Consider the following 26,187-nt stretch of genomic DNA (forward strand, 5'->3'; position numbering starts at 1 on the left):
CGTAAAGGAAGCGTCAAAAGATAAAGGACCCTTCTAGCCAGGACGCAAGACTGAGGGCGAGACAGCCACGCGGAGGCGGGGCCGCCGGCGGTCGAAGGTGCGCGCCCGGCCGACGGTGCGCGCCCGGCCGACGGTGCGCGCCCGGCAATGGGGCGTGGCCAGGCAGAGAGGCGGGGCTCCACCGAGCGCGGCGCTGAAGCTGGCAGCCAGAAAGGGGCGGGGCCTGGCGGCGATAGGCTTTGGGGCGGGGCTTCCAAACCGGGCGTCCCGGCTAGAGTGAAGGGGCGTGGGCACTCATAGGCTATTGGGGGAGAGGTTAAGAAACGTAGAATTTCGCAGCCAGAATGGGTACGTCTCAGCGATCCTGAAAGCAGCCTTGACAGCCAGAGGCGAGTCAAGTGGAAAGGCTGGCCGGGCTTCGAGAAGGGAGGGGGCATCGAGGTACTTAAAGGCCTGAATCGCGCGGCGTGACGTCGGGGGCGCGGTTTCGCGGCGTCTGGGCGGACACTGCGCCGAGGGGCGGGGCTGGACGCGCGCTCCAAGATGGCGGCGAACGTGTTCCCGTTCCGCGACGCCCGTGCCGCACCGGACCCAGTGCTGGAGGCCGGCCCGGTGGCACACGGGCCACTGCCGGTACCGCTGGTGCTGGACAACGGGTCGTTCCAAGTCCGCGCTGGCTGGGCGTGTCCCGGGCAGGACCCAGGTCCCGAGCCGCGCCTGCAGTTCCGCGCGGTGTGCGCCCGCGGTCGTGGCGGGGCACGGGGCGCGTCGGGCCCGCAGGTGGGGAACGCTCTGGGCAGCCTGGAGCCACTGCGCTGGATGCTGCGCTCGCCCTTCGACCGCAACGTGCCGGTCAACCTGGAGCTTCAGGAGTTGCTGCTGGACTACAGCTTCCAGCACCTGGGTGTCTCCTCACAGGTGAAGGGCGGAGTAGGCTGGGCTGGGCTGGGTTTGAGGGGAGGGGTGCGGTCTCGTCTCCGCTCACTCTGCTCTCGGAGAGGTAACAGTCACTTCAGTAGCTCCGATTGTCTTTTAGTCGACCAGATGCTAGGCGCTGTGGGTGTAGCAGCGAATAAAATGCTGCTCCTTGTATCTTGGAGCATACCTTTGGGCATATATGCTTGTTTGTTAAGAAGCCCATTTATTAACAAATACGTATTGAGCACTTACTCTGTGTCAGGCACTTTTTAGGCATTTGGAGTACATGTGTGAACACAAAACTTCCTGTGCTTATGGAGCTGTTAATACTATGGAAAGATATTCTAGTATGAAAAGGCAGACAGTAAACATAGAAATAGTAGATTCTACGCCGTGATAGGAGAGGAGGGAGTTACATTTTTTCAGTAAGATGGTCAGGGTAGGACTCGTGAAGGTGATGTTTGAGCAAGGACTTGAAGGAGGTGATTCAGGTAGCAAGCCATGTGAATATCTGAAGGAAAAACGGTCCAGGCAGAGGGAGCAGCCAGTAAAAAGGCCCCGAGGCAGGAGTGTGCCCTAATCCTAACTGCAAGGCTGCCTGTGTGAGGGGGAGAGTAGTACCTGAAAGAGGATGTCAGAGAGGTAGTGGAGAGGCAGATCACACACCTTATAGGCTTTTACTGAGTGAAATGGGGAGCCATGGCAGGGTGTTGAGCTGAAGAAGGACCTGACTTGTGTTTTAAAAGGATCACTATTACTGCTGTATGGAGAATGAATTGTCTTGGATCATAGGGTGGAAACAGGGACGAGTTAGGAGGCTGTTGGAATAACCCAGGTAAGGGATGATGGTGGCTTAGATGAGGCAGATAGCAGGGAATGTCATTAGAAGCAGTTGGATTCTGGAAATACTTTGAAGATAGAGCCAACACGATTTGCTGACAGTTTGGATGGGACCTTGACTTAATAACTTAAATTGACTCTACTTTCGTATTTTCAAGTAAAGATGAGATGGGAGTTTTATAATCGCCTCTGATCAGGTTTTTGATTAAGAAGCCAAAAGCAAATTCAGTCCTGCAATAAGGATTTTGGGTTCTTTTATGCTTCAAAAAGAGTATTCTGTTACCACTCATTTATTTGCCCTTTTCTTTCAAAGTAGGGCTGTGTTGATCATCCCATAGTTTTGACAGAAGCTGTGTGCAACCCACTGTATTCACGGCAAATGATGTCTGAGCTTCTTTTTGAGTGCTACGGGATTCCCAAGGTTGCCTATGGAATAGACAGCCTCTTCAGCTTCTACCACAATAAGCCAAAGAACTCGATGTGCAGTGGGCTAATCATTTCATCTGGATACCAGTGTACGCATGTTTTACCCATCTTAGAAGGGAGGTGAGTTGCACTTGTGGCATTTGAGTGCGATTTTGAGAAGCATTCAGGAAACATTTATTTACTGCGTGCTTTAAAGGCAGAGTAGAAAGAGCAAGTACTAGCCTGTGAACTGAGCCGTTGGGCTTAGCTTTGAACTACCTCACTGTGTGACTGGGTAAGTCCCTTTGCCCATAGTTGTGTCCTTTGTGACCTTCTGGAGGGAGTTGGGGTGGATGATCTCTTAGTTCCACATCCATAATTCTACAATATTATAATTCTGACATAATGGGGAGATAGCTAACATAGTATCTGCAGGTAGTAGGCATTCAGTAGAAATGTTTTGAATAAATTTAATCGAGACCATCTTTGTGTTCTGGAGTTTTTTTTGTTTTTTTTTTGTTTTTGTTTTTGTTTGTTTGTTTGTTTGTTTTTTGACAGAGTCTTGCTCTGTTGCCCAGGCTGGAGTGCAGTGGGATCTTGGCTCAGGGCAACGTCCGCCTCCCGGGTTCAATTGATTCTCCTGCCTCAGCCTCCCGAGTAGCTGGGACCACAGGCACCTGCCACCATTCCTGGCTAATTTTTTTTATATTTTTAGTGAGACAGGGTTTCACCATGTTGGTCAGGCTAGTCTCAAACTCCTGACCTCAAGTGATCCACCCTCCTTGGCCTCCCAACATGCTGGGATTACAGGGGTGAGCCACCGCGCCCAGCCAATTTCAAGTTATTTAATCACTATTGTTTAGACCTTTCAGGTACAGTGCCTGGCACGTAATGGACCCTTACTAAATATTTTCAAGTTGAATAAAAGGCAAGGGTAGTTTATGTCATATTTAAAAATCTGTTGCCACTTTATCGTTGAGCTTTAACTGTCTGATAAGAGCCTAGGCCACCACTGTGTTCTCCTGAGGTTTCTCACATTGGCACAAAGAGACCCACGCTTTACAGCTGAATGCCTGGGTTTGCAGCTCTGCTACTTAACTTCCTCACTTCATTTCCTGATACGTAAAATTGGGAAAAACTGATTTCCCAGGGTTACCCTGAGAATGAAATGAGATAAGGTAGGTAATGGCACTTTGTAAACTGTAAAGCAGACTGAACATATAAGGCAAATACCATTGAATTTCTCATGAAGTTTCTATGAAAATTTTTGAAGAAAAAAGTAATTCTTAGGTGTTACCAAATGCTCCTGATGTATGAAGTTCTCTATGTAAACAGAATATGCAAAAATAAAAAGTAACATATTTTATATTGAGAGAAAATTACCTGAAGGCTGGGAAATTATCAGAGTGAATCATATCGTGTTCTATGCTGGCATCTGCTGGTGAGGTATGATACAGCAGTGACATTTTAGTTCCCTACAGTAAGTTCCTAGTGCTCTGCCACTTACTTTCTCACATTAGGAAAATAAAATTATTCTGGTTCTTTTACAGTAAGTCAGGATGCGTGTGGTTACTTAACGTGTTTGCTTCAGTAGATGTGGAGTGTTAAGGGAGGGCTTCTTAAACTCTGGCCTTCAGTCACCTAGGGAGCTCATTAAAATGCAGATCCCCAGGCCCCACCCCAGAGCAGCTGTGTCCTGGGAATTGGCATGTTTAAAATTTCCCCCAGCTAATTCTGGGATACCTGGTCCCAGGACTACAGTTTGAGAAATATATGACGAGACTCATTAAGATCTGACTGGAGTGCATACTTGTTAGGTGGCCGTGTGACTGTATGGGTGAGCTAGGAATGCCTGCCTAGATAAGAGGTTATACCAGGGGAACTTCAACGTCCCTTCTGACTATCAGGTTTTGTATTTCTCCTGCTGGTCTGTTTCTTCTTTATCTGCCTTAAATTATCTTGTTTCTCCCAAGATGCTCCATATTTCTGTCCTCCAGAAATTTCAGTGCTGTTTTCTACTGCTTGGTTATAGATTAGATGCTAAAAACTGCAAGCGCATCAATCTTGGAGGAAGCCAAGCAGCTGGTTACCTCCAGCGTCTCCTCCAGCTGAAGTACCCTGGGCACCTGGCAGCCATCACCCTCAGCCGCATGGAGGAGATTCTGCATGAGCACAGCTACATCGCTGAGGATTATGTGGAAGGTATCCAAGAGGATGTTTGCCTGCAGCTTTTGGGTGTTGTCTACCTTGTATTCCTTAAATTATTGCCAGCATGATTCTTTGCTTGCTCACTTTTTAAGCACCTCCTTCCCCTTTTTGTATTCCCTTTCTTAAACTATTCAGTAAACTGATAACTTATGTTGTATAGGTTCCCTTCACAAATGGTAGCTTTTATAACTTGCCTTTAATACAGAACTTGGAATTGCACAACTTTCAGCTTTTCCAGATATTAAATATTTTTAAGAGTGAGCAGAACATATCAGACTAAAAATATCTTAAGCTAGAAAACAATTGAAATTGTTTTATTATACCCTTATAATAACATCTATGCTGCAGAAACACCTCTTTTTCTTTTCAAACTTGTCTTGGACTTTTGGTTGTATTTTACTTCAAATTAAAGTATGAGTTTTAGTTGCTATTGTCACATGAATGTGATGAAAATATCTTCCTCGTGAATTTAAATAGTTCATATAAAACCAAAGGACTACGGACAATGCCACTGTGAATACAACTCTATTCCAAGAATGGATTTGCTTGTTGTCATTGAGGGTACTGATCTCAGCTGACCAATAATGAGCTCCTGAAGGACAAAAACTGCATCTTTTTTTTTTAATTGTGAAAACCATATAACATAAATTTGCCATTTTAACCATTTTTAAGTATACGTTTCATGTGTGAAGAGCTGTGTTTTAATTAACTTTAGAAAGCATTTATTAAACATCTGTTATTCCTGGGATACAAAGAAGTTGCGGGAGACAGATAGGGAAATAAATAATTGATGAGGACACTCAGTCCGGAGAGTTAGAGGCTTGCCAGAAGACACGGCTGAGGCACACAGCTCTCCGTGCTCCCACTTCTCTGTTCTCCAGTTGCTCTGGTATTGACTCTTTTTTTTTAGTTAACTTTTTCTTTTACAATTCTATGATATGATTATAAAGAGAGAGCATGAGGGAATTTTTTGGGATGATGAACTCTTCCGTATCCTGATTGTGGTGTTGATTACATATGCTTTCTCTTTATAATCATATCCTGTTTTTATCCACAATAAACAGGAACAAACTACTGATACACTCAACAACTTGAATGAATCTCAAAGGCATGATGTTGAGTAAAAAAAAAAAAAAGTTTCAAAAGGTACATACTATTTGATTCCATTTATGTGACATTTTGAAAAGATAAAACCATAGTGATAGAGAAGAAGTGAGGGAAAGATTGCCTGGGCTTGGGATAGAGACAAGCTTTTGGGTGAACTTGTTTTCATTTCTCCAGAGTAAATAGATTGCTGGGTCATGTGCTTGCATGGTATGTCTTTCCGTCCTTCTACTTTTAATCTACCTATATCATTATATTCAAAGTGAATTTCTTGGTAGTTGGATGATTTTTAAAAAAAATCTATTCAGTCAACCTCTATTTAATTGTTAGACTAAACCATTTATAATTAGTTTTAATTATTCATATGCTTGGATTTAGGTTCACCATTTTATTATTTGTTTTTGTTCCTTCTGTTTATTGTTCCTCTGTTTCTCTCTCCTGCCTCCTTTTAGGTTATTCGAGCTTTTTTTTTTTTTTTTTAAAGTATTTTATCTGTTGTGTTTTTTACTCTACCTTTTTATTGTAGTTTTTAGTGGTTGCTTTAGAGATTACAGTAAACACAACTTTTCACAGTCTACTTAGATTCTGTATTTACCACTTCAAGGGGAATGTGGAAATGTTAGCAATGTACAGACTCCTTTATTTCGCCCGGTTTATCTTAAAGTTGTCTTATTTATTTCATCTGTATACATTGGAAACCCATCAGACAGTGTTGTGATTTTTACTTTCAGTTGTCAAATAGGTTTTAAAGAACTCGTAAGGAGATTAGTCTGTTATGTTTAACCAGATTTTTATCATTTCTGTTGCTCTTCCTTCATTCCTGATGCTCCAAGCTTCCTTCTGGTGTTGTTTCTCGCTGAAGAACTTACTTAGCAGTTCTTTTAGAACAGGCCTGCTGGCATTATGTCCAGGTTTGGTAGCTGCTTTTAGTTGATTGAGTGGATTCAGGGATTGGATGGAGTGTATTTTCTCCATCTGACCTATGTCTGAAATGCTGGTACTGACTTTAAAAAAAACAATGGAGTCGGCCGGGCATGGGGGCTCATAGCTGTAATACCAGCACTTTGGGAGGCCGAGGCGAGTGGATCACGAGGTCAGGAGATCAAGACCATCCTGGGTAACATGGGGAAACCCCATCTCTACTAAAAATTCAAAAAAATTAGCCGGGCATGGTGGCAGGCGTCTGTAGTCCCAGCTACTCAGGAGGCTGAGGCAGGAGAATGGCGTGAACCCGGGAGGCAGAACTTGCAGTGAGCCGAGATCGCACCACTGCACTCCAGCTAGGTGACAGGGCGAGCCTCCCGAGTACCTGGGATCACAGGTGCCCGCCACCACGCATGGCTAATTTTTTTGTATTTTTAGTAGAGACAGGGTTTCACTGTGTTAGCCAGGATGGTCTTGATCTCCTGACCTCGTGATCCGCCCACCTCGGCTCCCCAAAGTGCTGGGATTACAGGCGTGAGCCCCTGCGCCCAGCTGGTATTGACTTTAATTGTTGTGTTAATAGTGTTTCCATTTCATAACTTTCAAAATTGTTTCTTTGAAGAATTACACAAATGGCGGTGTCCTGATTATTATGAGAATAATGTCCACAAGATGCAGCTCCCATTTTCCAGCAAGCTCCTGGGCAGCACTCTGACCTCTGAGGAGAAACAAGAAAGGCGGCAGCAGCAATTGCGGCGGCTGCAGGAGCTCAATGCCCGGCGGCGGGAGGAGAAGCTGCAGCTGGATCAGGAGCGTCTGGACCGACTGCTATATGTGCAGGTAATAGCAGACACAGGGACGGGCGCCCTTCCGTGTTAACAAGATAGTCTCAGAAGATTTTCTTGCATATTTTTCCATTGGCCTTAAGATGCTTTGACTGTTTGTCACCTTTGGGGTCACGAAGGAGTCCAGGGGGATCATCAGCATAGAATACAGTGTAGAAGCAGCTGTTTCTGAAAGAGCTGTGGACTCCAGCATTATTTATTTTCACCTTATAAACTCCTTTATGTTTTTAAACTTTGTAAGTGTAGCATACATGATGCAAAGTGCACAAATCTTTATGTTTCATCTTGATGGATTTTCAAAGTGAAACTCACCCGTGTATCTGCTGTCAGGTTAAGAAACAGCATTGTCAGCGTTCCAGAAGGCTCCTTTCATGTCTCCTCTTAGTAACTTTCCCACCTTCCTTCACATCCCCCGCCCCACCAAAAAAAAAAAGGGTAACAACCTTTTAGACATCTGTCACCATCATTAGTTTTACCTAATCAGTTGTTGCTGGAACTGTGATGCAATGCTAGCCTAGAGACAGAGAGGTGGGCAGCTGTGTGAAACTGGAGGCAGCTGGAGGCGTGGCTCTGGGCAGGGTAGGCCAGGGGAGCTCTGGAAGCCCTCTCCAGCTGTCGTTTTCTCCGTTTGGCTTTGAAGCTACTTTCCTTCCTGTTTGTGACTGCTCTGTTTTCAGGAACTTCTAGAGGATGGCCAGATGGATCAGTTTCACAAAGCTCTGATAGAGCTGAATATGGACTCCCCAGAAGAGCTGCAGTCCTACATCCAGAAGCTCAGTATAGCAGTGGAGCAGGCTAAGCAGAAAATCCTCCAAGCGGAAGTCAACCTCGAGGTGGATGTGGTAGACAGCAAGCCAGAGGTAACTTAGGGCCTTGGAAGGAGCAGCCCTTCTTGAGGGGAGGAGTGTCCTGAGAGGCCTGACATCAAAGGGGTTGTGCCCAGAGTCAGGAGGGAAAGAGAGCAGAGGGGATGTGGGTGGTGGTGGAGATGGCACTGACCTTGTACCAACTGAAATTCTGTCAGAAGGGATTTCACCCTGTAGATCCCCGGACCCCTGAGCGCAGAAAGTGCATTTAACGTAGGAAGAACATTCACACACCAAACCTGTGGTGCTGTCTTGAACCTAAACCAGCTCCACTGATAGTCATTGGCAGTCATATACTTCCTTTAATTTTCTTTTAGTGTTTTATTAAATATATTGTGGTTGATTGTTCACTTACCTCCTTTCCATCTTGATGTTCCCTAAGGACAGGGATCATGCTTCATACATGATTTATGAATTTTTTACAGCAGTTGGTAGTTATGCTCAATAATATATGTATAGGTTGCCTTAAGATCAGCCTTTTATTAGTTGCTAAAGACCCTTTGCATAAGCTCTTTGATTTTCTCTTCTTCTTCTTCTTCTGTTTCCTCACCCGTGCACTGTTAATAAGTGTTTTTGAGGCCGGGCGTGCTGGCTCACGCTTGTAATCCCAGCACTTTGGAAGTCCCAGGCAGGCAGATTATCTGAGGTCAGGAGTTCAAGACCAGCGTGGCCCACATGGCGAAACCCTGTCTGTACTAAAAATACAAAATTAGCTGAGTGTGGTGGCACACGCCTGTGATCCCAGCTACTTGGGAGGCTGAGGCAGGAGAATCACTTGAACCTGGGAGGCAGAGGTTGCAGTGAGCCGAGACCGCTCCGTTGCACTCCAGCCTGGGCAACAAGAGCAAAACTCCATCTCAAAAAAAATAAATAAATAAATAAGTATTTTTGTTTGTTTGAGACAGGGTCTCACTTTGTTGCCCAGTTAGAATGCAGTTACATGTTCATAGCTCAATATAACCTCAGACTCCTGGGCTTAAGTGGATCCTCCCACCTCAGCCTTCTAAGAAGCTAGGACTACAGGTGAACGCCAGCATGCCTAAGTCATTTTTACAATTTTTTGTAGAGATGGGGTCTCACCAAGTTGTCCAGGCTGGTCTCGAACTCCTGGCCTCAAGTGAACCTCCCACCTCAGCCTCCCAAAGCACTGGGATGACAGGCTTGAGCCACCATGCTTGGCTGTTAATAAGTGTCGAAGTAGCCAAAAGAGCTTAGGCCCCAGCATCTTAGTTCCTGTATGGCAAAGGGGCAGCCTGCAGGTCACTCCTCAGTCCAGAAGTCGCTGGTTGAGTCGCCTGCCTTTAGAACTGAAACAAAGAGTAAGTGTACATCCTGTTCCTGGATCTGTCATCCCTAGAATTCCAAAACAAAGGAACTTACTGCCTTGAGACATGTTTTAGGCAGGATAAACCAGACTAGCCTCTTGTTTTTTGTTTTTTGTTTTTTCCTTTTTAAATCAGCTTTCATTAAGCTGTTGATTACTTATCCTTTCAGAAAAAAAATGATACTTTGGAAAAATGCAAGTCAGTGCCATTTGATGCTGGGTGTAGCATAGTGCTTATCAGTGATGTCAGAGTTGCCTTTGGCTCAACAGGAAGCTTGCTTTTGCAGTGATGGGCTCCCAGCTGGAGGCTCGCTCAAGGTTCTGCTCTCACCGTTGCATCCTCTACATCTCATTCCCAGGCTGTCGATTATGTGAGGACAGTACATGAGTGTATGCTTTATAGAGCAGATCCTGAGATAGGCTTACTAGATACACCTTATTGGATCACCAAGATCTTGTGTAGAAGGGGCCTTTACCATCTTCTTCCAACACAGCATCCCAGATCAGCCTCAGTTGAATCAGTGTGTGCCTTTTCCATTTTGCTTCTCTTGGTTTTTCAGGTCTTTGAGATTTGAGTTGTTGTTTACTGAAATCCGGAACCATGTTGTCTTTGTTATGTATTCATCCATATTTAGTTTTTATCATGCTTGACATGTTAGCAGGACATAGTTTTCTTTATACCAGAGCAGTGCCACTCAGCCACAAGCAGATGAGGGATTTCAGATTTCAAAAAGGGAAAAAAAACCAAACAGCTGTGAAGATGTGATTCTTCAGCAGTGGGGAAACTAGTTTTTCCTTTTCTTTGTTCATTTGTCTGCATTTGTTACATGATGTGATTCATCACCCATTCCCCCATTCTTTCAGCAGATACTCAGTAGGTACCTACTTCATTTTATGCTCTGGTACACACATTTAAATCTCCTTGGGTTTAGGGGATTTTGAAATGCCGGACTGCAAAAGATTTTTCTATATGCAACAAATTTGATGATCAGTTGGGCCGGGCACGGTGGCTCACGCCTGTAATCCCAGCACTTTGGGAGGCCGAGGTGGGTGGATCACCTGAGGTCAGGAATTCGAGACCAGCCTGACCAACATGGTGAAACCCTGTCTCTACTGAAAATAGAAAAATTAGCCGGGCGTCGGGGCAGGCGCCTGTAATCCCAGCTACTCGGGAGGCTGAGGCAGGAGAATCGCTTGAACCCAGGAGGCGGAGGTTGCAGTGAGCTGAGATTGTGACATTGCACTCCAGCCTGGGCAACAGAGCAAGACCCCGTCTCAAAAAAAAAAAAAAGTGATGATCAGTCGTCAAAGCTTTAATGGTTAGTCAGCATTCAGCATTTTAGGGTAATTCTTAATGATCAGAGTCAATTACAGTCACATTTGTGGGATAAACTTGACCATGACAATGGCTAGCCAGTTCTACCATTCAAAAAGTATTTGTAGAGTTTCCAATAATATAATTCATTTAGAATGAATTGAATCAATATATGTGAACCAAAATTCATATTGAAATTGCACTTAAGCAGTAATGGCTGAACTGAATTAATACAGCTGGAATTTAACTAATAGAGGTCTCGAAAATCTATTTTTTCTTATAGACCAATCTATTCTGACCCTTGCTATTCTGCAGTTGTTTCTGTGAGGATGTTGTGAAGGAGCAGGCTTTGTTAGCATTTTTACCAAGTATTTAAACCAGAAGATGCTTGCTTTTCATAGCTACAAGCACAGCATAAGAGGGTAGGAGGGGGGAGAACACAGGTTTTGAGCATCATCATTTGTTGGAAAACGCAATGGGCCAAATATAGAAAGTTCTCCGGCTTTACTAGCCAAGATCAGGGTTGGCCTCTGCTTCTTCTTATGCCGCTCAAGGCTGTTTTAGGGAACCATGCTGCATCTTCTGTGGTATGCCTTGGCAAACTGTCATTCCCTGCAGTTCCAAAAGAACAGTCATATTAGTGTTTCTGAACGCCACATAAGACATGTGGAGACCCTGGCAAACTCTAGCGAGAGAGAAGCCAGCCGTGGCAGAGAAAACTATTCTCTGTTGGATGCCTGTTCTCTGTGTTGAAATGATCAGCTTTGTTCCTCTCTGCGACTTGTATGAATTGGGATAAATAAATGTCCTTTTTATAATTTTTGTGAAGCTAAGAAGTTATCTTAAGATGGTATGCTTTGGAGTGAAGCTAGGTGAAGGTGAATGTTGATTTTTTTTTGGCAGCTGAAGAAACCTCTTGAAACCCAAAGCTTTACAATCATCTCTATTTCAGGGGAATTTGAGGGTGTATCCCAGGGGCCCACCACTCAGTGACAGGTGCAGTATACCAGGGATGCAGAGGTGATTAAGATACAATGCCTGCCTTCCTGGGTACCTCAAAAACAAAAAATGAGGGCTATAGCACCATGCTTAGCTGACTGTAATGAAGCGTAGCAGGTATGGTGGTAAATGTGTGTGGGAATACACATTTGGTTTTTTGAGAAGGACTGGATGTTTCAGCTGGGCCTTGAAAGATTATTTGGGCCGGGCACAGTGGCTCACATCTGTAATCCCAACACTGAGAGGCTGAGGAGGGAAGATCACTTGTGCCCAGCGCTTTGAGACCAATCCCTGAGTCACATAGACCCCATCTCTAAAAAAAATTTTTTTAATTAGCTGGGCATGCATCTGTAGTCTCTGCTTGAGAGGCTGAGGTGGGAGGATCACTTGAGCTTGGGAGTTCGAGGCTGCAGTGAGCCATGGTTGTGCCACTGCATTCCAACCTGGGCAACAGAACAAGACCCTGTCTAAAAAAAAAAAAAGAAAAGGAAGATTATTTGATTTCAGTAGGTAGCAAAAGGAGGAGGGAAGGACATTTTAGGTGGAAAGAACCACACATGCAGGCATATAGAGTGTGAACAAGAAAAGCTGTGGTGGGTGATGAAGTGGAGATGACTATTAAGTTCTTTACCCATCAGTCTTATGAGCCTGCATATTATCCTTCAGACATTCGGAGCCTTCCAGGGATGTTGAGCAAGGGAATGAGACGATGAGATTTTGTTTTGGGAAACTAACTGGTGGCAGTTAGGATGATGGGTTGAAGGGAGGGGTGAGACTGCAGGTGGGAAAACAAAACAGATGTAGGATCAGATGTAGGATCCCAAGATCTCGCTGCCATTTGCAAGCCAAGGTGACAAGAGTAGCAGTGTTGATAATAGAGCATGTGGCATGTGCCGACTCCTTGCTGAGCACCTACGTAGGTGTCCTCCTGGTTCGTGTTCACAACTCAATGGGTAGGTACTATCATTATCCCCCTTTTACAGACAAGGAAAGATTTGGAGTGAGGTCACATAGCTAGAAGTAGTGCTGATCAAATTCACACACAGGCAGTTCAATTCCAGATTCCACCCTTGTAACCCTTAGGCTGTATTGAAAGGCAGTGGGTAGATGGTAGTGCCTTTTGACCAAGTTTGGGAAGATAATTGGCTTAGTTTTGAGCACCTTTTTTTTTTCTTTTTTTTAAGAGATTGGATCTTACTCTGTTGCACAGGCTGGAGTATATGTTGTGATGATGGCTCACTGTAATTTATCCTTCAGACATTCGGAGCCTTCCAGGGATGTTGAGCAAGGGAATGAGACGATGAGATTTTGTTTTGGGAACTCCTGGGCTCAATTGATCCTCCCACCTCAGCCTCCCTAGTAGCTAGGACTACAGGAGTGCACCACCATGCCCGGCTAACTTTTTGCTTTTTAATTTTTTGTAGAGATGGGTCTCACTGTGTTGCCCAGGCTGTTCTCGAACTCCTGGCCTCAAGCAAGCCTCCCACCTTGCCTTTCAAAGTGCAGGGATTACAGGCATGAGTCACCGTGCCTGGCCCTGAGCTCCTTATCTTTAAAATTGTTGTAGGACATCAGGTGGAGCTTTTCAGCACTCTGTGGGACATCAGGTGGAGCTATGGGAGGACAGAATCAAATGGGGAGGAAGAAAAGAAAAATTCCTGGAGAATGCCACCACTTGAAAGTTAGGTGACAGAAGAAAAGCCAGGACGAAGATTGAGCAGGAGCAGTAAGAGATAAAGGAAGCCAAAAGGGTTGATGGGAGAGTTAAAAGCTTGAATGGTCAGCTTAACCTAGGATGAGAATTATTTTTTGAAACAAGGAAAGCTTGAAAGGATAAGAAAATAGGATGTGAGGGTGATCTGGCTGCGATATCTGTCACCCCATTGATTGCCAGGGTTGATTCGGCTGATCTGGCTGGCTAAGCTGGTGTCTTTCTGTCCTCACCACTTCGTGTGTGTCTCTCCCAAAGCTGCATGCTTGGTCGAAGAGGACGACCATCCCCAATAGAGGAGGACTGATCTTCCGTCAAGAGTATACGAGTAGCTGCGCTCCCCTGCTAGAACCTCCAAACAAGCGCTCAAGGACATGAAAATAGATAAGGAAGTAGAATGAAGAATAAAGAGGGAAGTTCATTTTTTGAGGCAACTAAGATGATCTTTTAAGATTTCCAGGGTTGAGATTAGAAAGGAGACTGTGGAGAAGGGTGTTGGGAAAGGGCAGGCAGAAGGAAGCTGAGAAGTAACCACAGGATTGCCTAAATAGCACCTGGGACTTTCTGCACTCCTGCCCCCCTGGAGCATATTTAACTTTTCTATTGCTACAAAAACCATTCCAAACTTAGCAGCATAAAACAGCAACCATTTTATTGTGCTCATGGGTTTGGTGGGTGAGGAATTGAGAGAGGCTACAGGGATCTCTGCTTCAAGTTGCCTGGAGCCACTGCTGGGAAGAATTAAATAGTTGGGGACTGGAATCAGCTGGAGGGTTTTTTACTTACCTGTCTGGTATCTGGGCTGGGAGGACTCAAGGTCTGGGTTCATGGGGGACTCTTGACCCAGGCACCCACATATGGCCTCTTGGTGTGCCTTGGGCTCCTCCCAGTGTGGCCACTGGTTTCCAAGAGGGAGCTTCCCAAGAGAGCAGCTAGAGAGTGAATGTTTCAAAAGATGAAAGCATAAGCTGCATGACCTTTCAGGACCTTACCTTAGAAGTCACATGACATCATTTGCACCATACTTTGTTGGTTGTAGTCCTCACAGTCCCCCACTGAGACTCAAGGGGAGGAAACAAAGACCCTCCACCTCTGTTTGGGGAGTGTCAAGGTCACATTACAGAAAAGTGTGTGGGATAGAAGTCACTGTTGTGACCTTCTTTTAAAAATATAATCTGCTCCGGAGCCCAAGTGGAAAGAGTACTGGGAGGCATCCTTTAGACTGCAGGCTTACTGGTTGGGTGTAACAGAAGCAGATAGAGTTGGTGGAGGGATGACGGCAAAAGTGATTGGATTCCAGGCTGGGTAGAGAAGGGCATGTGAATCCACAGGAAAGGTCATCACTTGGATTGAGGGAGGCTGGAGTGGAGGTTAGGATGAAGATGAAGAATAGGGTAAAAATGTGGGATGTAGAGAGGAAGGACTCCAGTGGAGCCCAGTGCTTGCTTTCACCTGTTACTTGGGGAATCACAGGTTACAGGTTTTGTCTGTAGTTATTTTAAATACACAGATGACATCTTTGTCTTCAACCCAGTAATACAACAGAATTATTTAAGGGACCAAATTGAGTGTGTGTTTAAAAGGGAAGAGGGAAGCGTTGTTCGTTTCTCACCCGACGCTGCCCTAAGTTCACGTCCCACTTTTACATAGATGGAGAAGCAGCTCAGAGTGTACTGTTTCCAGCTCTAGTACTGTGACCTTTAATATACCTTTGGTTGCCATTCCGAGCTGGATCAGTGTGACTCCAGAGCCTGACCACCTTCTGTTATGTCACACTGCCTCCTGGTTCCTGGTTCCCCCAGATGACAAACCACCAAATGAAAAAGAACTTTGATGATTAATTTCCATTCCTCCCCTGGAACCCCTTTGGGGTCATTCCTGAAGAGCTGGGTTTGGTGCCAAGCCAGAATAGGCACAGACACTCCCATGGTAGGGCTCCTTTCTTGTGAGGGAAGCTGAGAGTCTTCCAGATCACAAACTGCAGATGGCAAGGGGAATGTTCCTTTACTCCCTCTCTGCTGTCCCTGCTGGGACAGAGGAGCCTGTCATTGCCTCAGCTGGTCTTGCTGCTGCATGTAAAATCTTTCATTCATCTCTTGTATTACCTACTCTGACCTCAGGCTAGATTGTTTTCATGTTCCTAAAGCCCCAATTGTCTTATCCTTAGCCTCATGATTTATAGAACTCCAGCTTAAGGCAGAACAAAGACTTTGGAACTGAGCAGTTCTGCCTCTTCCCACATGTCCACTGCCTACTAGTGTGATGTGATCTTGGGCAAGTTACTTCACCTCTCTGAGCCATAGCATCCTCACCCATCAAATACAGTAATGTCTGCAGTGAGGGTTGTGCAGATAGCAGGTGTCCCTCCCCTCTTTGTCTGATTCAGTATTGGCAGGGACAGCTTTTGCTTCCTTCCCTGAGAGCAAGGTTCTTTAGATTCGTGTCACCCAACCCATCTTCCTCCTCCTCAGATTACCTCTATAAACCAGCCCCCTCATCCTGTGCACAAGTCTCACATGAAGAAACATTCACTTTCCTTTCCAGGGTTTATCCTCAAGCCTGGAAAATCCCCCTCAAATACTGTAGAATCATCTATACTGAACAGAATTTAGAGTACATTGTCACCCATCTTGCATGCCATATTTGCCACATGACTTTTGGTGTGTGAATGTGTGTGGGGTATTGAGGGGTATTGCCTTATTTTAATGCTAGTTTACATTTGCAGTATATATGAGTAGGTTCTAGAGAAGTATATTTAAGTCCTCTGAATTATGTTGGTGATTTACATACTTCATAAATTCCGAGAGTAAGGAGAGACTCAGAATGCATACTCAATGGCGCAGTCTCCTCTCAAGCATACTTGGCTTTGGTTACACTCTGCTTGAACCCTCCCAAGACACTACCTCATAAGACAGTCCATTCTGCAGCAGCTGTCATTGTTACAGCATTCTTCCTTGGGATGCAACTAAATATTTCTACCCAGAACTTCTCTCCATTGAGTCTAATGACAGATGGCTAAAGATGTCTTTCAGAACCACCACCATCCCCAACTTATTTTGTACAGTTTAAAATTAAAAGCACCCTAACTTCTCTTTTGGAAATGGTGCCAGCATGTCTAGACCCCTTCCAGGTTCATTGTGGTCATAGAGGGAACTTGTTCTGCAGGACTCCACAGATAGCAAGCACTCTGCTACCTTGGAGCCTCTAGTCGCATTCCCAGCCCAGTGGGACCTGCTATTAAGGGACTGATTGTTGAGCTCATTAGCGTTGGCACATACATTTATTTATATTTCTGAGGCAGAGTCTTGCTCTTTCACCCAGGCTGGATTACAGTGGCATGATCATGGCTCACTGTAGCCTCAACCTCCCAGGCTCAAGTGATCCTCGACCTCAGCTTCCCAAGTAGCTGGGGCTGTAGGTGCTCACCACCACGCCCAGCTAATGTTTGTATTTTTTGTAGAGACAAGGTTTCACTCTGTTGCCCACGCTGGTCTCAAACTCCTGGGCTCAAGGAGCCCACTTGCCTCTGCCTCCCAAAGTGCAGAGGGATTACAGGCGTGAGCCACTGCTCCCTGGCCAGCAGATGTATTTATTAATTATTAAAAGATTGCTTTAACTTTGCTGGTAGTCTAGCTGCCTTGTAGGATAGCAGCTGTCACACCCTTCTCTTAGAGTTGCGTGTGTGGTGGTGTGACTCATGCAAGCAGCAAGTCTTCCACGGGGCCCAGCCATGAGCTGGCACCATCAGAAGGCTTTAGAGAAGGCGGGGGTTGGTGAGGCTTGTATAAAGTAGGAAAGGTAGGAGATCAAAGCAAAGCCCGTTCCTGGCTTTTTAGTCTTCGTGTTCATGTGTGCTTTTTTAAAAATAGCTTAGAAAAATTTTCATAGTTTTTATGTAAGGTTTTAGAACATTGGGCAAGATCCCAGTTCTTTTTTGTGGCACTAAAATGATAGAACTGAGGCCTGCTGAAGGTACAGGTTCTGTTTCATTTTGCTCCTTCTCTTAGACCCCTGACCTGGAGCAGCTGGAGCCGTCTTTGGAAGATGTGGAAAGCATGAATGATTTTGATCCCTTGTTTTCAGAGGAAACACCTGGAGTGGAGAAGCCGGTCACCACTGTTCAGGTTTGACTTCTACAGCCCAGAACATGCTTATTCTTTGAAGGTGTTGACCTAAATGGCTGGGCTAGTCTGTTTCTTTAGGACTTAAAACTGTTATGTTTTTTAGAAAATTGGGTACCAATACTTAAAACATCTGAAATCAGGGATTTTTTTCCCCCGGTGATTGATCGATTGGTTCTAGTACCAAGATCTGTGAATCTCTGAGAAACAGTCCACCCGGCAGAAACATTTGGTAAAGTAATTGGGAACTTGAGATCTGAATACTGGCTTGTAATAGTTTCATTTACATTTAAGCCAATGCCAGTACACATAATCCTCTTTGGAATCTATGTTTCTGTCATTACAATGCCAACCAGATAAACTGTCCTGAGTCTGAGACCCACCTGGGAGAGAGCTTCCTTGCCGTGCAGGGATAGGGCACTAAGCAAGGCACTGAGCAGGAGACTTGTCCTCTAGACTCGGCCTTTTACTGCTGCTCTCCACAAAGCCTCTCCCTGCAACTCGGGGACCATTTCATGATGGAAACATGTACATGTTTATAATACACAGGTTGGAAGAAGGTAGGAAATTGAATTAGCAGGTCAAGAGAGTTGGGAGAAGCTATACTGGCATTAACAAGGGACAGAAACTATTGGGATTAAGAAACGCAGTTTGAGGAAACTAGCAACTGGAATGTTTGTCATTTGGCCTAAAAATATCTTTTAAACCTTGGGTTTTTAAAGCCCGTGTTTAACTTGGCAGCATATCATCAGCTATTTGTTGGGACAGAAAGAATTCGAGCTCCAGAGATTATTTTCCAGCCATCTCTCATAGGAGAAGAACAGGCTGGGATTGCAGAGACTCTTCAGTACATTCTGGACAGGTGAGACAGCGAATCTGCTTTTCCTTCTATCTTCCTGAACCATTTCCTTGGATTTTGCATTGAATGGTAGATTTGATGGTCAGGCACTTGAAAATGCATCTCACTCTCTTCTTTTCATTGACTTGCTGTGCTCAGATAGTATTCCCTTCATCTCTTATCACCAGGCCTGGCACGTAACTGGGGCTCTGTAGTTGTTTTCTGAACCTGTAAATGCTGGGTTGACTGAGTAGCTTTAAGAGTGTCTTTTAAGTTTGAACAACCCGATAACATGTACACTGGTTTCCATGTAAACCTTCACATTATTAAAGACTAGTGATTTTAAATCACCCTAAAAATATTGCAGAGCTAATAAAATTTTTTTCCCCTCCTTGCAGGCATTTTACTTATTTAAGAGTTACATTTCCATAAGAATCCAGGTGTTTTACCCATTTATGCGGGCATTTTCCTGCAGTGTGAATTTGATAATTCAAGTTGGGCAAGTAGAGAATGGAATTTTGTAGGACTCTGGCTGCTGTTGGTCATAACGGCAGGGAAACTTGTACCTAGCAAGGAAGAAAAAGCTGTTGCTGCTACTTTGTTTGAGTGGCTTTGAGCTTTGTCTTGACAGTGGTTGGAAAGTGATCAAACATGTCTTAGATAAAGCTGTTATTAAAAAAGATAAAAAGAAAGCACAGGTCGATAGATGGGCCCTCAAAAGGGAGGCATGGCTTTTGGGGATAATGGAAATGTTTTGTGTCTTAATTGTAGTGATGGTTACTGGAATGTATAAATTAGTTAGACTTTATCAAAATGTATGTAAATTTATCCTCAAGTTTATTTTTTAAATGTATTATAAAAGTATAAAAATTCTAATCATGTTAAGGAAATAAGTTGACCATTCAGATTACGGTTTTGTCTGGCTGTTTGGAAACATTGGGCTGGCGTTTTGTAGAGACACAAATGAAAAATGAAAGTTTTGATTTTTTTTTTTTTTAGCTTTTTGTGTAGAAGTTTTTCTGTTTTGTACTGAGAGCTTACATTTCTGCATCCACATTTCGTTCTGATATTTGAGTTAAGGGACTATATTAGGAGTTGTTTCTTTCCTAGGTACCCAAAGGACATTCAGGAAATGCTGGTTCAGAACGTTTTCCTCACTGGCGGCAACACGATGTATCCTGGCATGAAAGCCAGAATGGAGAAGGAACTGTTGGAGATGAGACCCTTCCGGTCTTCTTTTCAGGTACTGATTGTTCGAGTAGTCAATTATTTTGAAAATAGCATTACCTGTTTTCTGATTGCAAAAGTAATAATCATGCAGAAATATCCACTGTTAACATTTTTGTGGCTTTTCTTCTGGTCTTAAGTCCATGCTTAATTTTTAAAGCAAAATGGGAATCATGTTTTATATACTGTTTTGTGGTTTCTTTAAATTGGAAGATGAAGACATGCGTAGAATTCTAAGAGTGTGAAAGAGTGTACATCAAAAATAAGTCATTCTCCTACCCAGTCCGGGCCCCTGTAGACATTGTGGGGCATGGGATACATTGGAGCGTTCCAGACAGAAGGACTAGCATGAGCAAGGGCACAGGGGCCAGAAGCTTGTTGAGGGAGTGAGAAGTGGCTGAGTGTTGCTGGAGCACATGGCTGATAAAGAGGAGAGGAGGTGGGTAACGTAGAGAGGTCAGCAGAGCCCACACTGCAGAGCCTGTGCATCCTGCTAAGAAGCTTGGCCTTGGTCTGCTCTGCTTTGCTGCATGATGTCGTGTACATTCAGGGGGGCGTCTCTGGGCTTTGGTGCTGACTCCATCATCACCATTACTGAATTGTGCTAAGCTTTGGCTGTCTCAGTGGTAGGAAGGGGGTAATCGGTACCTGTTGCTGGGATTCAGTGTACTGGTGCCTGTCAAGCGCCCGACAGTGGGCCTGCATGTAATAAACTCTCAGACATGAGCTGTTGTGTTGAGGGTCCCTAAGACCATTCCAGGCAGGATGATTCTCTGGGAGGATTCACAGGACTCAGCTTGTAATCCTACTTACAGCTGTGACTTACTACAGCAACTCAGCAGAGAGACAAGGTGCCCGGGGTGAAATCTGGGAGCAACCAGGTGTAAGCATCCGAGGCCTCTCCCTGTGGAGTCACACAAGACATAATTTCCCCAGCAGTGCCTTGTAAAAGCACATTAAGTGTTGCCAACCAGGGAAGCTTGTAGGAGACGCAGTGTCTAGGGTTTTTATTTGGGGGCTGATCACATAGGCACCCCCTGCTTGGAGCATACCCAAATTCCAGGCTCACAGAAGGGAAGCACGTGTTTGGCATAAACCACATTATTTGTGTGAATGGGCTTATTGAGCCATTCTTATCAGGTGGTGGTAGGAACCCTCCCAATATCCAAGTTCCCAGATGCCTACCAAGGCCCCACCCTTGTAAGTATGCCTTTCTAAGGTAACAGTAGGGTGGTCCTGTTAACTCTTTTCTGCACAGCTCTTATTTTTAGGCCATAGTGATGAACCATGAAGGAGTCTAAGCAGGGAATGTGATCTGATTTACATTTAGTAAGATATATTTGACACTGTTGTGCAAAATAGAGTATTAAGAGAAATATTGGAAGCAGACCAGTTAGGAGGCAGCTTCCCAGCCTCTAGGAGGAAGTCCTCACTCCACTCACCAGGATTTACAGGGTCTCTTGTGTTCTGACCTTAAGAACTGTCCAGGGTTCTCTCATCATTCCCCCTTCCACCCGCTCGTCAGCCACAGCTAACCACTATTAGTTTTCCAGAGTTTTCCTGCCTCAGGGCCTTTGTACATGCTGGCTCCCTTTGCATAGAATACTCTTTCTCCTCATCCAGCTTTCTCAGTGGCTGGTTTCCTGGAAATCACTTCCTCCAGGAAGCCTTCCCTGTCTTTCCCTATGTTCCTTACAAGATCCACCTCTTGTAAGGGAAGAGACAGCCACTGTCTTGTGAAAAGTGTCCCAAGCCCTTGGCACAGTATTACTTGGTAGCTCTGCAGGAAATACAAAAGCAGTGGCAGAGGGAGAGGAAGAGAGGGAGTTGATGTGAAAGAGGCTAAGGCAGTCAAATTGTCAGAGCTTGATAGTAAGTTGGATCTGGGGAGGGAAGTCGGACCTAAGATAATTCCTAAATTCTAAGTGGAGCAACTAGTTTGCTGATTAAGAGATTCACTGAACGAGGAGCCGCGGGAGGGAGGACAGGCTTAAGGGAGAGGATAGTACGTTCCATTTCCAGGGTGGGTTGAGTTTCCAGTGGACACACGAAAAGGTGGCCACAGCTAGCTGGATGAGCGCTCGGTGGGTAAGGGGGAAAGCAAGAGGGTAGTTTCACACCCTCCCACCTGCCACAAACATAAAATGTGCTCTGGGCACTCTTTGGGAGGGTAGTGATGTTAAGGATGAACCCCTAAAGAACACTAGCATTTAAGGGCTGTAGGACACCCATGAGTCTAAGAAGGAGGTGGAGGAAGAGGAGTGGGGAGCAGGAGAGAGCAGCAGTGCTGAAGCCAGGGGGTGACAGTAAGGGGCATGAGCATGGGGCTGGGTCACGCTGGCAGCGGCGACTTAGGATGAAGTAGTAGAGAAAAAAATCGTAGAGGATTTTCAAGATCTATTTCTTGGTAATTTCCAAAGTCTCCCATGAATTACTCTGTGAGCATTGGTTGTGGAATGCTGCTACCAGCCAGATCTTTTCCCAGCCCTGCTTTTGCTGTTATGGTGTCACCTGGCCTAGCCTCAGCTCCCCCCTCCCCTCCTGTTTCTGCCCCCTTTCACATTGCTAATGTAATGAGTGTGTCACACTGTCACTAAGCCCTAATGTTCCAATTTTAGATTATGTATTCAGCAGTGGCTCAAACATACCAACCACCTAAGGCCCTCCGTGATCATTAGAAGGAAGAGAACCCCAAGATGTGCAAATTTACAACTTTAAGTTCCTGTTTTTTCTTAAACAGTAAAACATTTTTAAATATTACAAAAATATCAGACAATTTAAACCAAAATGAAAACCAAGAAAACTGTAGTTTCAGCCTCTGCGAGCAATGTTCTTTGTATACTTTCCAGTCGTTTTCATCTCATGTATGGTTTTAACCAAAAAGAGATTGGTGATAGCTTATTTTGTAACCTGTATTTTTTTCACTTTCAAATTATTATGACAATTTTTTTATATCAATAGGTACATTTCCAGAGCATCCTTTTTATGGCTGTATAGTCTATTAACCATATGTCTTGCTGCATTTTTTATTAGTAATGATGACAGCTATGCTTTATTGAATACTCTGTACCAGGCAGCATCTACCATGTGCCTTACACTCATGCACTTAAATCCCCTGAAGCCAGGGGGTGGGGCCTCTGGTTATCCTAGTGACAAGGTCCTCATTCACAGGCCCCTTGCCCACGTGGCAAGCCCAGCAGCTGGACTCCTGAGCCTGCACTTTCCCACCTCCATTTGTGCATGTTGATTCCACTGTTATGGCCTCTGCCCTTCAGTCCCGAAAGTTCTGAAATCACCATTCTAACCTGGAACTCATGGGATTGGTGGAGTGGGGAGGTGAGAGGGAGGTAGGAAGTGAGGCGGGTAACTCCAGAACACAGGAGGCCCGATGGAAGCTGCAGTGTTACCATAATGATCAGATCAGCCTAGCCGAGGGCCTTCTCAGAGCTGCTGAACCCCAGCCCAACTCCAGTGAGAAGCAGGGGAAACTAAGTGCTGGCAGCCTCACAGAGAACGCCCAGGTCACCCCTCTCTGCTGCCATTTCTCCTGAGGCTCTTTTGCTACCCTGGCTAGAGCTGCCTTGCAGCGGCCCCTGTTTCCCTCTACTCAGAGTGGGGAGCGGGGCCAGGAAGGCCTTTTCCCCAGGTCACGGGCCAGCCTCCACTTCACCTCTCCCTGACAGCTTGTGGTTGACAGCATCAGGCAGCAGGAGGCTGAGCCACTGGCCCCTCTCTGACCCCGAGTGTCAGGTCTTATGTTAGTAAAATGTCTGACAGCCGTCTGTTCTGGAGAGTCTGGGCATTCCAGCTCACCTTTGTTTACAGGGTGTGGAGCTAGCCCCGAACTGTCTTGGAGTGCACTGGGCCCACCTATGTGTATATTTCTGGGGATAAAATATCGGGGGCTGTAGCTGAGCCAGGTCAACATTCACTCCTGGAGCCCTGGTGGAGGTGTCCTGGTGAATCTTTGTGTTTCAGGTTCAACTTGCCTCGAACCCTGTGCTGGATGCCTGGTACGGTGCTCGTGACTGGGCCTTGAACCACCTAGATGATAATGAAGTTTGGATCACCAGGAAAGAGTATGAAGAAAAGGGAGGAGAGTACCTCAAGGAGCACTGTGCTTCCAACATCTATGTCCCCATCCGCCTGCCGAAGCAGGCCTCCCGCTCCTCAGATGCCCAGGCATCCAGCAAGGGCTCCGCTGCTGGTGGAGGTGGTGCTGGTGAGCAGGCATAGCAGAGGCCCTCCAGAGAGACTGCCCTGCACGCCATGCCTTGGGCCACGTTGGCAGTGTGACAGGACTGTGATTGTGCTAGATGTACCTGCCCAAGTCTGCTGGTCACATTTGGCAGCAAAATGGATTTCTCCTGGGGAGAACAAAGTTAAGGGACACTGAGACCTGCCCTTCAGAATTCGGTTCACTTGGGGGCTTCTGTGGTAGAGACTAACTGGCCTTCTGATGTCTTTGTTCAACTGTGGCCAGCTGTGGCATCAGCTTCCTGGAGCAGTAAATGAAGACAGAGTGGAGGACACAAATGTACAAAATGCACAAGACTGATTTCTTACCACATTTTAGTCTTTCTTGTTTTAAAAAAAATTCTTTAAAATTTATCTTGTCCGTGTAGATACTTTATTCTTCTGGATGTATTCAGAAATTGCATGAATGCCCAGTGAGGGGAGGTCTTTCATGCATATAAAAAGGTAATGTTTATTGCCGGGCACAGTGGCACGTGCCTGTTAAGGCCCAGCTTTGTGGGAGGCTAAGGCAGGAGGATCGCTGGAGCTTAGGAGTTCGAGGCTATCGTGTGCTGTGATCGCACCTGTGAATAACCACTGCACTCCAGCCTGGGCAACATAGGAAGACATTGTCTCTAAAAAGATACATTTTTCATAAAAGGTAATGTTTATTCAATAAAAGCAGTTGCCTCAGGAACCGGAAATATTTCCCTCCTCCTATTTTTTCCCCTTACAGATAAGGAGAAAAGCCCAGAAAGTTACCAGCATGTGAGGTCACTCTGCAAGCCAGGGACTTGCTTGGTGCCAGAGCCAGTGGCCCAACTTTGTTCATACTTTCTCTGCTGTAAACTTTTCCACCATACAAGGCCTACAAATGTTTTATTTCTGTCCTTCTGAGTTTGTTGGCTTCTTAACTTTTTCAGACTTTTTGGAAGAAAGATAAGACTGGAGGAGGTTTATCCTGTAGCCTGTTCAGTTTTGCCATAACCTCCCATTCCCTGTACCTTCCCAGCTGTGTCTTAAGTGGACAGATAACCCCTCACCTTCACAGAGATTGCTCGGTGAGAATTTTAACTCAAAGACAACCAATTATTGATCCCAGAAGGCCCCTGAGCTAATATTGTCACTGAATTTGTACCTTTAAATCTTATGGAGCCTCTAGCCCACCCCTCTGATGAGGCCACCTTAGAACCTGTTTGCTCATACAGTCTACCAAGGGTCATCACCTGGATCTCCAGCTCTCAAGGGCTTAGAAACTGCAGACCGGAAGGGAAGGGGCAGTGGTGATGGAGAGAGTGGAAGACCACAGCTGACCGTAAACAAAGGAAAAAGGAAAGGTTATCGCAAACCTAAATAGAAGATGCACAGGGGGAAGATACTCCATTGAAAAGAAATGAAATAAGAAAGTAATAGATAAGGAAAAGAGGCAAAGGAAATTAAACTGTAGTTGAAGAAGAAAATTTAACTATATTGAGTTTTGTGGTGGTGATGGTCAAAACAACATGACAAACTTTACCATCTTAACCATTTTTTTTTTTTTCCCGAGACAGAGCCTCACTGTGTCGCCCAGGCTGGAGTGCAGCGGTGCAATCTCAGCTCACTGCAACCTCCGCCTCCCGGGTTCAAGCAATTCTCCTGCCTCAGCCTCCCGAGTAGCTGGGACTACAGGTCTGTGCCACCAAGCCCAGCTAATTTTTTGTATTTTTAGTAGAGATGGGGTTTCCACTGTGTTAGCCAGGATGGTCTTGATCTCCTGACCTCATGATCCACCCGCCTCAGCCTCCCAAAGTGCTGGGATTGCAGGCATGAGCCACTGCGCCGGGCCCATCTTAACCGTTTTTAAGCGTCCAGAACAGGGGTGTTAACTCTGTGCACATTGTTGGTCAAAAGATCTCCAGAACTTTTTCATCTTGTAAAACCACACTCAATACCCATCAACTCCCTTCCCCCTGCCTCTGTCCATCCCCTGCTCTTTGCAACCACCATTCTACTTTGTAAGAGTTTTTCTTTAGATAACTCACATAAGAGAAGCCATACAGTATTTGTTGTTTTGTAACTGGCCTATTTCACTTAGCATAATGTCCTCAGGCTTCCTCCATGTTGTGGCATGTGTCAGAATTTCCTTCCCTTTTAAGGCTGAATAACATTCCATCATATGGATATACCACATTTTCTTTCTTTACCTTCGATGGACATTTAGGCTGCTTCCATTTCTTGGCTATTGCAGGCAATGCTGCAATTAACATGGGAGTGCAGATATCTCTTCAGGATCCTCATTTCAATCCCTTTGGATATATACCCAGAAG

General features: G+C 45.2%; 1 protein-coding gene and 1 pseudogene across 1 annotated transcript, besides 4 other annotated features; both read left to right on the forward strand.

Moving 5' to 3' along the window:
• Positions 1–270: a silencer, noted in NCBI's record as "silent region_12902". NCBI's record gives its function as "represses an Ori minimal core promoter by ATAC-STARR-seq in GM12878 lymphoblastoid cells {active_cell/tissue: GM12878}" and the evidence as "EXISTENCE:reporter gene assay evidence [ECO:0000049][PMID:35858748]".
• Positions 1–760: a biological region, named in NCBI's record as "H3K27ac hESC enhancer GRCh37_chr20:37376699-37377200".
• Positions 121–622: an enhancer, noted in NCBI's record as "H3K27ac hESC enhancer chr20:37376699-37377200 (GRCh37/hg19 assembly coordinates)". NCBI's record gives its function as "activates a minimal SCP1, AML or CMV promoter by ChIP-STARR-seq in naive H9 embryonic stem cells {active_cell/tissue: H9 hESC(naive)}" and the evidence as "EXISTENCE:reporter gene assay evidence [ECO:0000049][PMID:30033119]".
• On the forward strand, positions 525–24,585 carry ACTR5 (actin related protein 5). Its single transcript, NM_024855.4, has 9 exons — positions 525–918; positions 2,075–2,304; positions 4,196–4,365; positions 7,022–7,239; positions 7,922–8,104; positions 17,467–17,583; positions 18,303–18,442; positions 19,529–19,661; positions 23,624–24,585. The coding sequence occupies exons 1-9, from the start codon at positions 544–546 to the stop codon at positions 23,879–23,881; spliced, it is 1,824 nt and encodes a 607-aa protein (NP_079131.3). The 5' UTR covers positions 525–543; the 3' UTR covers positions 23,882–24,585.
• Positions 571–760: a silencer, noted in NCBI's record as "silent region_12903". NCBI's record gives its function as "represses an Ori minimal core promoter by ATAC-STARR-seq in GM12878 lymphoblastoid cells {active_cell/tissue: GM12878}" and the evidence as "EXISTENCE:reporter gene assay evidence [ECO:0000049][PMID:35858748]".
• RN7SKP173 (RN7SK pseudogene 173) lies at positions 13,593–13,831 on the forward strand (annotated as a pseudogene).
• Positions 24,586–26,187: the final 1,602 nt, after the last annotated feature.

The sequence above is a fragment of the Homo sapiens genome, chromosome 20 (assembly GCF_000001405.40).
Source record: "Homo sapiens chromosome 20, GRCh38.p14 Primary Assembly".
NCBI lineage: Eukaryota > Metazoa > Chordata > Mammalia > Primates > Hominidae > Homo > Homo sapiens.